Consider the following 13,810-nt stretch of genomic DNA (forward strand, 5'->3'; position numbering starts at 1 on the left):
ATTAATGGATGTTCAAACTGGTGTGTTTTAGTTTTAGTTTTTGGCATTCCCAAAAATGATACAATAAATATATACTTATATGTATATCCTTATACCCTGGTAATTTTTTTTCTATAGGATAGATTCCAAGAAGTGACATTTTTAGGTCAGAGTCTATGCATACATTTTTAAATTTTCATACCTATTGACAGTTTACTTCTCTGAAAAGGAAATTGCATTTTACATTTCAACCAGCAATATATAAAATTGCACATTTTTCTTCATCTCGTAATGCATGTTGCTCCTATTTTCAATTTTTGCCAATTTGGTGAGGGAAGAAAAACTACCTCTTCACTATTGTGTTCTTAATTTCCCTGAATATAAATGTTGATGAGTATCATGTATTTATTGGACATTCTTCATGTATTTATACACATTCTTAATTTGGTGAATTGCCTATTTGCATTGGCAATTGGCCCAGTATTTCTATTGCTTTTCTAAAATATCAATTTATAAAAATTATCTATGTATCAGCAGTTTTAAACTTTTTTCTGCCTGCTGTGCTGCAGATACCTTTTCCAGTCTGCCATTTGTCTTTTGACTTTATGTTGACATCTGCCATTAAAAATTTAATAATGTGTTTCCTTTGCATGGGAAAAGATCCTGGGTAGCCCTTTGGACATCTTCTACACAAAAGTTAAATGATTTTTCTTCTTTAATTTTATGTTAATGTTTTAAATTCATGTTATACACCTATTTTATATACTTTAATACATCTGAAATTTATTTTTGTATATGATGTGAGGTAGGGGTTTCTTTCTTTCTTTTTTTTTTTTCCAGATAGATAGTCAGTTATGCCAGCATCATTTGTTAAATAAGCCACCTTCCCCTGAAGTGAAATTTCACTATCTAATTACTCTAATTTATTTCTGGACTCTATGTTTCATTAATCTGTTTGCCTGCACCTGAGACGATAGTATACAGTTTCTATTCTAATGATTTCATAGCAAATATAATCTTCAGTAAGGTAGCCCCCACTCCTTTTTTTGTAGTTATCTTGGCTAGTCTGTTACATCCATTTTATTATATGAACTTTGAAATGATCATATCCAGTTCATGAAACCCTACATTGTGCTCAAGGGAGTCTCATTTGTGTGCTGAACTGACCTCCTTGAGAGTGCTTAATGCTGGTTTTGTTAAAGTTCTCTTCTGATTATTCTTTTATTTTTACTTTGTTGGTTGCCAACTGTTTTAAATATCTACCTTGGTTTTCCTACCTCCCCTTGCTGGGTTTCCTCGAATGGGTTATTTCCCCTGATCTCTTCATGGTTTTATATTTCCTCAGCAGGCAAGTGTTTGGGATCTCCTATATTGTGGCAAACCAGCCAAGTGCCAGTTTGTAGGCTGAAAGTTAATGAAGTAGTAATCTGATTCCTCTTTTTTGAGGACCAAGCAGAGCTCCCCAGATCTTTGGGAACCAGAGAGATTTAGCCCACCAGGAAAACCAAGTCAAGATGTGTTCCATAAGACAAAACCCACTGAGCCCTCAGGCAGGCTTGCAGGTGCAGCACTGCCTTCCTGTGTTCTTTCAGGAGCCCATCCAAACCCTGCCTTCCTCCCTACTTCAAGATGAGACAAGCCCAACTCTTCACAAGTGGTACTTGCTTTCTCTTTTCTTCCCAAGGCTTTCTATAAAAGACCCCTGAATCAATACATCCAAGGAAGTATAAGTAGTTGGTAATTTTTCAATAAGAGGAGAGAAAGTGAAGAAGGACCTGTGAGCAATGATGTAACAATAGAGAAGACAGTGAATAGAAACCTAATCCACTTGGCAACAGCAGTATCAGTTTCATTTTGCTTCGTACAGGAGACTGGCTGCAGTCTTAGGATTTTCACTGTAAAGTGACACTTTCCATCATCACCTTTCCTGCTTTTATCTCCCCATATTTCATCACATAAATTCTTTTTTTTTTTTTTTTTGAGACGGTGTCTGGCTCTGTCGCCCAGGCTGGAGTGTGGTGGCACGATCTCGGCTCACTGCAAGCTCCGCCTCCCGGGTTCATGCCATTCTCCTGCCTCAGCCTCCCGAGTAGCTGGGATTACAAGCGCCTGCCACCATGCCCGGCTAATTTTTGTATTTTTAGTAGAGACAGGGTTTCACCGTGTTAGCCAGGATGGTGTCGATCTCCTGACCTCGTGATCCACCCGCCTCAGCCTCCCAAAGTGCTGGGATTACAGGCGTGAGCCACCGTGCCTGGTCATCACATAAATTCTTATCCTTGCTTCACCCACGTCTCTGTTTTTCTCATTTAGCCTTGTCCTCTCTCTCTTTTAGTTTGTATCTCTTCTTTTCCATTTTATTCTTCTTCAATGTATAATCTTTCCTTTTTGAAAGTCAAACTTGAGTCTGGGAAAGACAACAACAGCAGGACAGATGTCTAGCTCATTTTGTCCTCCCCACAATCTGAAGAGCACATATATTGTTAGACTAAAAGACAACCTTGAGTCTGAACCTACAATTCCTTACTACAAAATTAGTGCCATGTCATGGGAAGTAAATGAGATGCTGGAAGAACCCATCAGTACTCTCTAATTTGGAAGGCTGTGGAATGGTTGGGAAGCATTTACGTTACTTCAGATCCCTTCTGCCAAAAGTATCTAGCCCAGCAAACCTACGAGCAAGCGTGGCCACACCCAGTGGGAAGCCAACTGGTGGCAGAGCTTCCACTGGTGTGGATTTTTCTGAAACACCAGTGGAAGGATAGGAATAAATAGGAGGAGCACAGAGGACTTGGGGGCAATGAAATTATTCTTAGGATACTATAATGGTGGATACATTGACATACATTTGTCAAAGCCCCTAGAATATACAACACTAGGAGTGAACCCCTAAGTAGACTATGAACTATGGAAGACAATGATGCACCAATACAGGTTTATCAATTGTAAACCTGGGCTGGGACCTTCCTTGGCGTGTCAGGCAGGAGTACCACAAGGAGGCTGGACACAGCCAGATCATTTACCTAACATGGAGGACAGAAGACATCATGTACAAAGATGTTCTTTGGTCTGTTAGCTTCAACAAATTCAAATAATTTTTATTATGATTTCTGAAGTTGCCTGCAGGCATCCTCTGTGGCAGCAGCCCCACAGGTTCTGAGTCACTAAATTTATATCGGACAGAACTTAGATCTGAGAAGATTCTATCAGAATAGGCAGGAGGGGCAGGAAAGAGATGCTTACCATTTTAAGGTCAAAAAATAATCCTGAATAGATTACTTTTCTATGTTGAAGATAATAATAAAATACTCAAAAAGAGAACACTTTAAAAAAATATTTACTTATGATAACAATAAATTTCAGACAACATGTCTTGGTGCCTCAAATACGATTAAAGGGCATATGGGCCGGGTGCGGTGGCTCACGCCTGTAATCCCAGCACTTTGGGAAGCTGAGGCGGGTGGATCACCTGAGGTTAGGAGTTCAAGACCAGCCTGACCAACATGGTGAAATACTCTACTAAAAATACAAAAATTAGCTGGGTGTGGTGGCTCATACCTATAATTCCAGCTACTTGGGAAGCCAAATAAGGAGAATCACTTGAACCTGGGAGGTGGAGGTTGCAGTGAGCTGAGATTGCAACATTGCACTCCAGCTGGGGCAACAGAGTGAGACTCCATCTCAAAAAAAAAAAAAAAAAATCAAGGGAATATGGATTTTAGGCACCAATAGATAAAGGTGAGATAAAATTGTCAAGTAAAGTGGAAAGGGAACTGAATGAGATTAGGAAATATTTTTTAAGTAGGAAAATAATGCAGGTATGGAATCGATTTTAGTAAACAACAGAATTGACACTGCAGAAAGGTGAGCCAATGATGTAGAGAAAAATTTGAGAATTTCTTCTAGAATGTTAAGGTGAGAGCCAAAAAGAATGAAAGAAAAGATGGCAGATGTTGAAGATAATGGAAAACCAATGTACAGATAATAGGGGATCCTGAAAAATAAGCCAAACAAATCAGAAGAGCATAGAAAAATAAAATTGACTTGCGTCAAAGATCTCAATCTCAAATCTGTGATTCTGAAAAACAGAGATTTTGCACTTTTCTTTACCTTTGAAATGATTTTTTAAACAAACGTTCTTAAATCAGTAAACTTTATTTTTTAGAGCACTTCTAATTTTGCAGCAAAATTAAGTGGAATACAAAGAGGCCTCCCATATATGTCATTCCCCCACAAACATACAACCTCCCCCAATGTCAACATCACACACACAGTGGTAGAGTCTGTTACAATTGATGAACCTGTATTGGTGCATCATTGTCTTCCATAGTTCATAGTCTACTTAGGGGTTCACTCCTAGCGTTGTATATTCTGGGGGCTTTGACAAATGTATGTGAATGTATCCACCATTATAGTATCCTAGAGAATAATTTCATTGCCCCCAAGTCCTCTGTGCTCCTCCTATTTATTCCTCCCTGCTGACCCTTGACAACCACTGATCTTTTTATTGTTTACATGCTTTTGTCTTTTCCAGAAAGTCATATAGCTGGAATCCTACAGTATGTAGCCTTTCCAGACTGGCTTCTTTCACATAGTAATATGCATTTCAGTTTCCTTCAAGTCTTTTCATGGCTTAACAACTCATTTCTTTTTAGCCCTGAATAATATTTCATTGTCTGGATATACCACAGTCTATCCACTCGCCTACTGAAGGACATTTTTGTGGCTGCCAAGTTTGGGCAATTATGAACAAAGATGCTGTAAACATCCACATGCGAGCTTTTATGTGACATACGTTTTCCATTCATTTGGGCAAATGCCAAAGAGCATAATTGCCTGATCATATGGTGAGAGTATGTTTAGTTTTGTAAGAAACTGTCATACTGTCTTCCAAAGTGACTATACTCTGTATTCCCACCAGCAATATATGAGAGGTCCTGTTGCTCCACATCTGTGCCTGCATTTAGTGTTGTCAGTGTTTTGGATTTTGGCCATTTCAATTAAGGTTCTGATCCTTGTTCAGTCTGTTTTTTGCCTTTTACTGTGTTTGTAATTTTTTGCTGAAAGGCGGACATGATGTATTATAAAAGAAACAGCGGTAAATAGTTCTTTGGTGATGTGGTAAGGTGTGGGAGAAGGGGAAGCATTCATAGTGCTATGATCGGTCTCTTTCTTTTGGTGAGCCTGTGCCTTAGGGCTGTGAATTTCACCAGTGCCTCTCATTTTGTTGTTGTTTTAATTATTATTATTCCTTTCTTAGGTGGGACAGAATTGCTAGAGGGGGTTGGCGTTGAGTATTTCCCTTCCTCTTGGTAGGTTAGGCAATTTTAAAAGCCCAATAGTTTAGGCTTGGGTAAAATAATTTCTCTTTAGGGGAGACCTTGTTAAGAATGGAGTACTCTAGTATATTTCAAAATGGCTACTTTTTTCCTCCTGGTGCTGAAAGCAGGAGAGGATTTTTCTCTGAAATTTCCTGTGAGAACCTGATCTTAGAGCTCCTAGAGGTAAAAGTGGGTCCCCCTGGAGGATTTAACTTTCACACTTGTCCATGCTGGGCCTCCATCAACTCGTCAATTACAGTACTGGTTTTCCTGCCCCAGTACTGATTTCCGCAGAGGTTTCTGCTAGTATCTTTTTACTTCAGTGAGTTATAATTCTTGTGTTTGCCTGCCTGTGTCTCCAATTTTCAGGGCAGCAGTTTGCTCTGTGAACTCACTTCACTGCCAAATCTAAGAGTTGTTGAGTTTCAGTTTGTTCAGCTTTTTACCTGTTAGTACTGACTTCAAAGCCCCCTGCGTGCTGGACCAGAAACTGGAAGTCAACAATAAAAATCAAGGTGTGATTTTCACCAAGAAAAATTATTTAAAAGACCAGTATTTATAAATATCTTGGAGGCTTTTTTAAACAACAGAATATTTAAAATCCTACCATTGGCCAGGCGTGGTGGCTCACACCTGTAATCCCAGCACTTTGGGAGGCCGAGGTGGGCGGATTGCCTGAGGTCAGGAGTTTGAGACTAGCCTGACCAATATGGTGAAACCTTGTCTCTTCTAAAAATACAGAAATTAGGTGGGTGTGGTGGCATGTCCCTGTAGTCCCAGCTCAGGAGGCTGAGGCAGGAGAATCGCTTGAACCTGGAAGGCGGAGGTTGCAGTGAGCCAAGATTGTGCCACTGCACTCCAGCCTGGGTGACAGAAAAAAAAAAAATTCTGCCATAAAATCATGAGCTATTCTACCACAAACTCATGAATTGTAAAATATTGCTAACAAGATTTGACAAGAAGACAATCTTTGACAATATAATGACAAGAAGACATTATAAAATTGAGAGTTGTTTCTAGATGAGAAGAGTTAATATTATAAACATTTTGAATTTCCCAGAATTAATTTGATTAATACTGTAGTAAGTAGATATAATTGTAGTAAATTTTTCAAAGAATGAAAAAAGATTTCAAAAGTTAATATGGAAGAATTACTAGAGCTTTGAATTACTAGTTCTTAAAATACATTATACAGTCACATGATTAAAACTTAGGAACTATTTCAGAAATATATAGATCAGTAAAAAAAAGACATTCCAGCATGAAGAAAATCCAAATACAATGTGATTTCATCTGATAAATAAGACATTTTCATACCATAGAGCAGTCTGCTCAATTCATGAACAGTTCTGGGACATTTGGTTAGCTATATATTAAAAAAAAAAAAAAAAAAAAACAGCTGCCTGGTGGGATTACAGGTTAATTTGGTTACTTTTATATTTTTCTGAGTGTGGATTAGTTGTAAAATCAGAAAACAGGATTTTTCAAAATGCATTAAATTCTGTTGATTAATTATGAAAGGGTTTTTTACCTTTATAAAGAAAATTTGCTAATGATTTAGATAAATGAGAATTTGATTTATAGTTTCCTTACTTGAAGTGTGATTTTTTTGGAATCCATATTGTTAGCTTAACAACACAGTAATCCAATCATGCCTTTAAAAATCCTTTCTTCTTCCTGAGGGCACATATAGATTTTTGTAGGGTCATCTGTTAGAGAAGCACAGATGCCGAGATGTTGAAGGTGTATTTGATGCAACGTTTAGTCCTTCAGGGCCTTCTTTCCTTTCCTCTGTCTACTGAGCCATTTGTATCACTTAACTCTTTGTTTTTCTCTGACTTGAAATGTCCTCCTCCAGCTGCCTGGCTGGTGATGGATATCTCCTGAGCAAAGCTGCTGCGGGGAAGACAGACAGGGTTGATTCCCACCTTGGCAGCCTACAAAAGCATTCATTTAAGGGACCTCAGGTGAAATGGAGCTGAGGTGATGTTTGAGCCCATTTTATTATTCTTTGGGAAATTTACCATCCTTGAGCCTTGATTTTTTTTTTCATCTGTTCATTCAGCAAACAGTTGTGGCGCCCCTACTGTGCTAAACACTTTGAGACAGTGGGTAACAGACAGATAAGATCCTTGAACTCTTGCTACCTATGGATCTGAAATTGGAAATTCAATACTAAACCTAAGAGAGTTAGAGGAGAATTCCTTGTAACATTGTGCCTGGCATCTAGACCCAGTGAATGTTAACTTCTTTATTTTTTATTTTTTTTTTATTTTGAGACAGAGTCTCTCTCTGTTGCCCAGGCTGGAGTGGAGTGTTGTGATCTCAGCTCACCGCAAGCTCCGCTTCCTGGGTTCACGCCATTCTCCTGCTTCAGCCTCCAGAGTAGCTGGGACTACAGGCGCCCACCACCATGCCTGGCTAATTTTTTGTATTTTTTAGTAGAGACGGGGTTTCACCGTGTTAGCCAGGATGGTCTCGATCTCCTGACCTCGTGATCCACCTGCCTCGGCCTCCCAAAGTGCTGGGATTACAGGCGTGAGCCACCACGCCCGGCCAATGAATCTTAACTTCTTTTACTCTTTCTTTATTCTGTGAAACTGGACCAAGCATAACATTGTCTAATCTGTACTTCAAGCTCTCTGGAGAACACACTTCCTCTTTTCACTCTGTGAGTCTGTTCTGTTGCCTTGTGTACAAGAACTCTTGAATGATGTTCTCAGCAATTGCTTGCCTGTCACAGATACTGAAAATGAAACATATTGCTCCTGCAAATCCCAGTGTTCTTAATGAGAATAGGCTTAATTAGCAGCTAGAGAGACTGAGGGTTATGGGGTTGGTGCAGATTGCTTGAGGTTTCATGGAAGAGCCTCTTCCTGAAGCATATAGTTACCTGCTTTCATTAGTTCAGCATCTAGGTCAGCTTTCTTGTGCTGTTGCCATGTTTGCCCCAACCTGAACACGTAGGCTCTTCTCTCCTCAACTGAGTGCCTCTTCTAAGGATCTGCAGCCTAGAGCAGCTGCACAAGGGAGGAACCTTAGAGATCGTATGACTTGAGCAAGCAAGTTCGGATAAGTGACATGCTCAAAAATATGGTTAATGACAGAGTCTACATTCTGCTCAAAATGTACTTCTATTATGCCAGGCTATGAGTGATTCCATAGAACTGAAAGCTGTTCTCCTTGGAGGACAAAACATTCCAGATTTCAATGCAGCATTGGGTCACCCAATCTCATGGACAACTGAATATAGTGAAGGATTGATAACACCATTAGATCTGTGTGCAGTTTTGCATGAGTCCAGATTTTGCCAAGTTTTGAGTCAGCAATCCTTTCCCTGTGCACCTGTCTTATCCAAGCTTCCTCCAAATTGGTGCATTTCCATCTCTTTCCCATATGCTTGTGATCAACCAATCAGTGTTGAGTCAGTATTGAGAATGAAGGGAAGCAGACCAGTGGAATGATCAAAGAGAAGAAATGGCATTATCAAAAGAGCAATAGCACAATGTGTGCTTGGAGCTTGCTTCAGAATAGGGGCACAAGCTGTAGAGATGGATGGAACTAATTTGCACATCACTCCTCTACACCAACTTTGACTTTAACTGTGGTCCAAATGTCAAAATCTCTGGGGAAATGACTGACATAGGTGTTCTTTTCAAACTTACGCATTTTTCAGAGTTGTGGTTGACAAATATGCAAATGCCCATGGAAAGTTTGTATCATATCAAGTATTAAAAAGGAGATTAAGCAGTGTTTAAGGCTCTTTCTCACGTGATGTGTTGACTTATGCATTAGCCACTCTCCATTGGTTTATGTTTTACCTTGGTTGTATATTTTACCTTGCACAGGACCAGCTCTCAGCTGATATGTACAGTTTTGTGGCCAAAGAAATTGACTATGCAAACTACTTTCAAACGGTAAGTGCCCAGAAAGGTGAGATTGCTTAAAGGCTGTTCGTAGGAGAAGGGAATGTGGGCATGGAATTAAGAGTCCCTTAATTGATCACATCATAGAAAAAGGTGGGAGCTTTGACCATTTTACTAGTGAAATAAATCCTGCCATGCTCCTGATATGGATTTCTCCAAAAACCTTAGAATAAAACTCAATCCCATCCCTCGGGATTATTGCAACTCAGTCCACTGATTCTCAGCCAGGAATAATTTTGTTCCTTCTCTTGGTGGGCAGTTGGCAATATCTGGAGACATTTTTGATTGTCACAGTTGTGGAGGGAGGTGCTACTGGCATTTAGAGGGCAGAGGCCAGAGATGCTTGTAAATATCCTGCAGTGCACAAGACAGCCCCCACACCAATGAATTATCCAGTCCAAAATGTCAGTAGGGCTGACATTAAGAAACTGTGGTCTGTGCTAACAAGGGGCTTGAGAAAAATAGGAAGGCAATTCCTTCCCCCTGCACATTTTCTTTTTTAATCTAGATTTTATGAAAGGCAGTGACTGATAGGTATATGATGATTGATGTGGCCTGTTGGCCTGCCTCTCACCAATCAAAGTGATTTAGACAGTAAGAAACAGGATCAGAGTCATCTAAACTTGAATAAACTGGTACAAATAATTAAGACTCAGGTTGTTTACCAGGGTAAATGCAAAGCAAGTCAAAAAACTTCGAAAGAGAAAAAAGTTCAAATAAAAAAAAATCAGTTATGCTCACCTGCCTTTAAAGTTGGGAATAAAAGGCTAAGACCTAAAAGCTCTTGATTTATAATCGGGGAAGGAAAGGAATGATAAAGAAGGAAGGTAAGGAGAGGAAAATCAAGAAATTCTGCAAAGTTTAAAATGCTTTGATAAGTATGGTCAAACAACTGTGGGCTGTTAGAAATTTTCCAACATTTCATTAGTGGTTCAGAATGCAGAGAAGCCCCTTCTACTGGAAAAGGAGTTGATATGCATTACTTCCAACTTGGAAAGTTTAATTAATTAATTTATTTATTTTTATTTTTTGAGATGGAGTCTCGCTCTGTTGCCCAGGCTGGAGTGCAGTGGCGTGATCTCAGCTCACCACAACCTCCACCTCCTGGGTTAAGATGATTCTCCTGCCTCAGCCTCCTGACTAGCTGGGACTACAGGCGCATGCCGCCATGCCCAGCTAATTTTTGTATTTTTAGTAGAGTTGTGGTTTCACTATGTTGGCCAGGCTGGTCTGGAACTCCTGACCTCGTGAGCTACCTCACCTCAGCCTCCCAAAGTGCTGGGATTATAGGCGTGAGCCACCGTCCCTGGTGGAAAGTTTATTTTAAAGTGGTAGAATTTTTTCAGGTGTATTCCATTGGTTGTATTCATGAAGGTAATATTTAATTTTAGAAACTCAAAGACGTTAGAGTTTTACTGATGACCTCATTGACATTCCAAGCTTTACTAGACAGCCTAATTGTCATTCGGATACCATTTATTTCAATATTCTGATTTTTAAAAAAGTTCGTATTAGTTTTACTTTAATTTTACTTAGGGATATTAGTGTCCACCCTCCACAACAAGCCTTCAAGCAGATTAATTTCCTCTGTTTTCCTTATACATGCCCAGTTTTGGGGAAGGGATAGGAGGAGTCAGTAAACAAATGAAGTAACTAGTGTTTATGAGTTTCATCTGCTCTTATCAACATGTTGGCCACTTTTAATTAATGGGATGGTCAAAATAGAATACTTTGAAGGAATTTGTTCTTTGGACTGCATCATTTTCACCAAAGCAATCCCACCTCCAGGGTATTTGAAGAAGATTGCAGATCAAGCCACAAGTTTTCTGATCAGTTATATGTTAGACTAACTTTGCAGAAACAAAAGATGTATACAAGTTAATGACATTTAAGTCGTACATATCTCATAAGTAAATTATTTTTCATATTTATTTCAACAAATTTGTTTCTATTTTAAGAGATGGGGTCTTGCTATGTTGCCCAAGCTGGTCTTGAATTCCTGGGCTCAAGTGATCCTCCAGCCTCAGTCTCCTGAGTAGCTGGGATTACAGGCATGAGCCATCACACCTGACTCAGTAAATGTATTTCTAAATGTGTTTTCCATTTCCACTTGCTACAGTTACCCCTTTCTTTGTTGCCTTTTGCACTGAGGATGGGTTGCCAGAGGAAGAAGGGTGGTGATAAAATCAAGCTCTCTAAGCCACGTTCCAGCTCTGAAGAGCTCCCCCTATTCCTGTCTGGTTCTCCTGCTTCCCAAGTTTCCACTTGTAGTGACTTTGTTGTTATGGAGGCTAAAGAGGAAGCATGCTCGTTATTTTAGGTAGATTGGAGGAGGGAATGGGTGACTACCTCCTTCCGCATGTGGAAGCACCTTTCTGCAAAATGCTTTGCATGCCATGGCAGCCTGTGTCCTTGCCCCTCACTAAGGGTGATGCTTGCCTTGTGTCTTCTCAGCTAATAGAAGTGCAAGCTGAATACCACAGGAAGTCCCTGACACTATTGCAGGCTGTATTGCCTCAGATCAAAGCACAACAGGGTAAGTGCAGGCCTTCCCTGGAGAAGGGAGGGCCGGGGTGCCTGCTTGCCTTCCCGGATGAGATGAATTCCTTGTATGTCGTTGGCCCTAACACTCTGCCCAACAGCATCACCTGTAGATGAGCCTTTTGGACTTACTTCCAAACTGGTGCCTTGAGTCGGGGGTGCGTAGGGGTGCCCATAGAACATTAACCCCAGTGGCCCTGGACGCAATTGGCTGGCCATCCCCCACCCCCTCCTCCAGTCCTCCTGTCATCCTTAAAACCACAGAATGGAGGCTCAATTGGGCCTCCCTCTCTTTGGTAATCTTAGGAGAATCTGGACAACAAAGGAAAGCGAGATTCCAGCATGAGTGAACTTGGCGAACAGCTGACTGACTCTTTCTCACTCCTCCCCTCAGAGGCCTGGGTAGAGAAGCCTTCCTTCGGGAAGCCGCTGGAGGAGCACCTCACCATCAGCGGCCGGGAGATCGCCTTCCCCATCGAGGCGTGTGTGACCATGCTGCTTGAGTGTGGGATGCAGGAGGAGGTAGGTCTGAGCACAGCCACACGCCGCCCCGGGCAGGTCTCCTCTTCCACGAGACAGAGCTTACAGGATCCTCTCTCCTGTACCATCTCCACTCCGGCCCCCACGAATCCAAATGGCTTAAGACAGTGGCTCAGACCCATCTTCTGCAGAACACAAATTGATCCTGCCTTTTACCGTGAGCCTTCATTTGACAAGAAGAGAGAATTGTGATGGCCATGAGGAACGGATGGCCATATTCTAGTCATTCTTTCCCCTGGTTTAACATGTTTGGATAATTTGGGCATTCTGCTATTTTTTTTTTTTCTTTTGAGACAGAGTCTTGCTGTGGCACAAGGCTGGAGTGCAGTGGCGCGATCTTGGTTCACTGCAACCTCTGCCTCCTGGGTTCAAGTGATTCTCCTGCCTCAGCCTCCCAAGTAGCTGGGACTACAGGCGTGTGCCACCACGCCCAGCTAATTTTTTTTTTTTTTTTTTAGTAGCAATGGGGTTTCACCATGTTGGCCAGGATGGTCTCGATCCCTTGACCTTGTGATCCACCTGCCATGGCCTCCCAAAGTGCTGGGATTACAGGCGTGAGCCACTGCGCCCGACCCTGCTGCTATTACTACTCCTTCTCCTTTCTCCTCCTCTTCATCTTCCTTCTCTTCTTCTGCCTCTTCCTCTTGCTTAATAAGTTACCTAATTTTAGGTAATTTTAAAGGTTAAGGCTCTTAAACTTTTTTATCACAACTCTTATAGAGATCCTGAAAATATGATTGATAGATATATTAGAAAGTACTTTTTAAGAGCCACATGTAAAAAATGTCTATGAGAAATTTTTTTTTTTCTTTTTGAGATGGAGTCTCACTCTGTCACCCAGGCTGGAGTGCAGTTGCAGGATCTTGGCTCACTGCAACCTCCGCCTCCTGGGTTCAAGCGATTCTCCTGCCTCAGCCTCAGAGTAGCTGAGTTTACAGGCATGTGCCACCATGCCTGGCTAATTTTTGTATTTTTAGTAGAGACGAGGTTTCAATATGTTGGCCAGGCTAGTCTTGAACTCCTGACCTCAAGTGATCTGCCCACCTCCGCCTCCCAAAGTGCTGGGATTACAGGCATGAGCCACTGCACCTGACCCAAGAAGTTCTTGATAAGTGTTGTTTTATTGCTGTGTAAATCATTTCCTGGGAGATAGAGCTCATCTTTGGTTTCTTCCATAGACTATTTTAATATCTTTACTCCGTCTTCCTTTGATCTGATTAGCCAATCAGTATTTATTTAGGGCATGCGGTACGTGTTTTATTGAGCAAAGTATGAAATAGTGAGATAGGAGACTTATAAACTTATTGCCGGAGATGAATCTAGCATCTCTCAGTTAAGCCTAATTCATCCAGAACAGTCTGTAAGTCTCTAAGGGAGCACTAAGTTATATGGGACAAAGTAAGGGCTATGGATGAGAAGGAAGCCAGTGAGCATGCGGGTGTATGTGGCATGCTTCCTGTAGGCCAGCCTGTTCTAGATGCTGGAAATTCGAAAAGGAATGGG

The 13,810-nt window shown here is 40.9% G+C and overlaps 1 protein-coding gene across 10 annotated transcripts in view, besides 1 other annotated feature; it reads left to right on the top strand.

The window, feature by feature from the left end:
• ARHGAP44 (Rho GTPase activating protein 44) overlaps positions 1 to 13,810 on the top strand; it is a 202,146-nt gene that overhangs the window by 142,410 nt on the left and 45,926 nt on the right. For all 10 annotated transcript variants that reach the window (NR_135569.2, NM_001321167.2, NM_014859.6 and 7 more), the window contains 3 exons: positions 9,149 to 9,217; positions 11,681 to 11,762; positions 12,162 to 12,289. Coding sequence is in view for 9 of the 10 variants with exons in the window: in NM_001321167.2 (NP_001308096.1) it covers positions 9,149 to 9,217; positions 11,681 to 11,762; positions 12,162 to 12,289 (279 nt within the window). In the remaining variant the exon portion in view is untranslated. The remainder of the gene's footprint in view (positions 1 to 9,148; positions 9,218 to 11,680; positions 11,763 to 12,161; positions 12,290 to 13,810) is intronic.
• Positions 8,072 to 8,281: an enhancer, noted in NCBI's record as "active region_11739". NCBI's record gives its function as "activates an Ori minimal core promoter by ATAC-STARR-seq in GM12878 lymphoblastoid cells {active_cell/tissue: GM12878}" and the evidence as "EXISTENCE:reporter gene assay evidence [ECO:0000049][PMID:35858748]".

This window comes from Homo sapiens, chromosome 17, assembly GCF_000001405.40.
Source record: "Homo sapiens chromosome 17, GRCh38.p14 Primary Assembly".
NCBI lineage: Eukaryota > Metazoa > Chordata > Mammalia > Primates > Hominidae > Homo > Homo sapiens.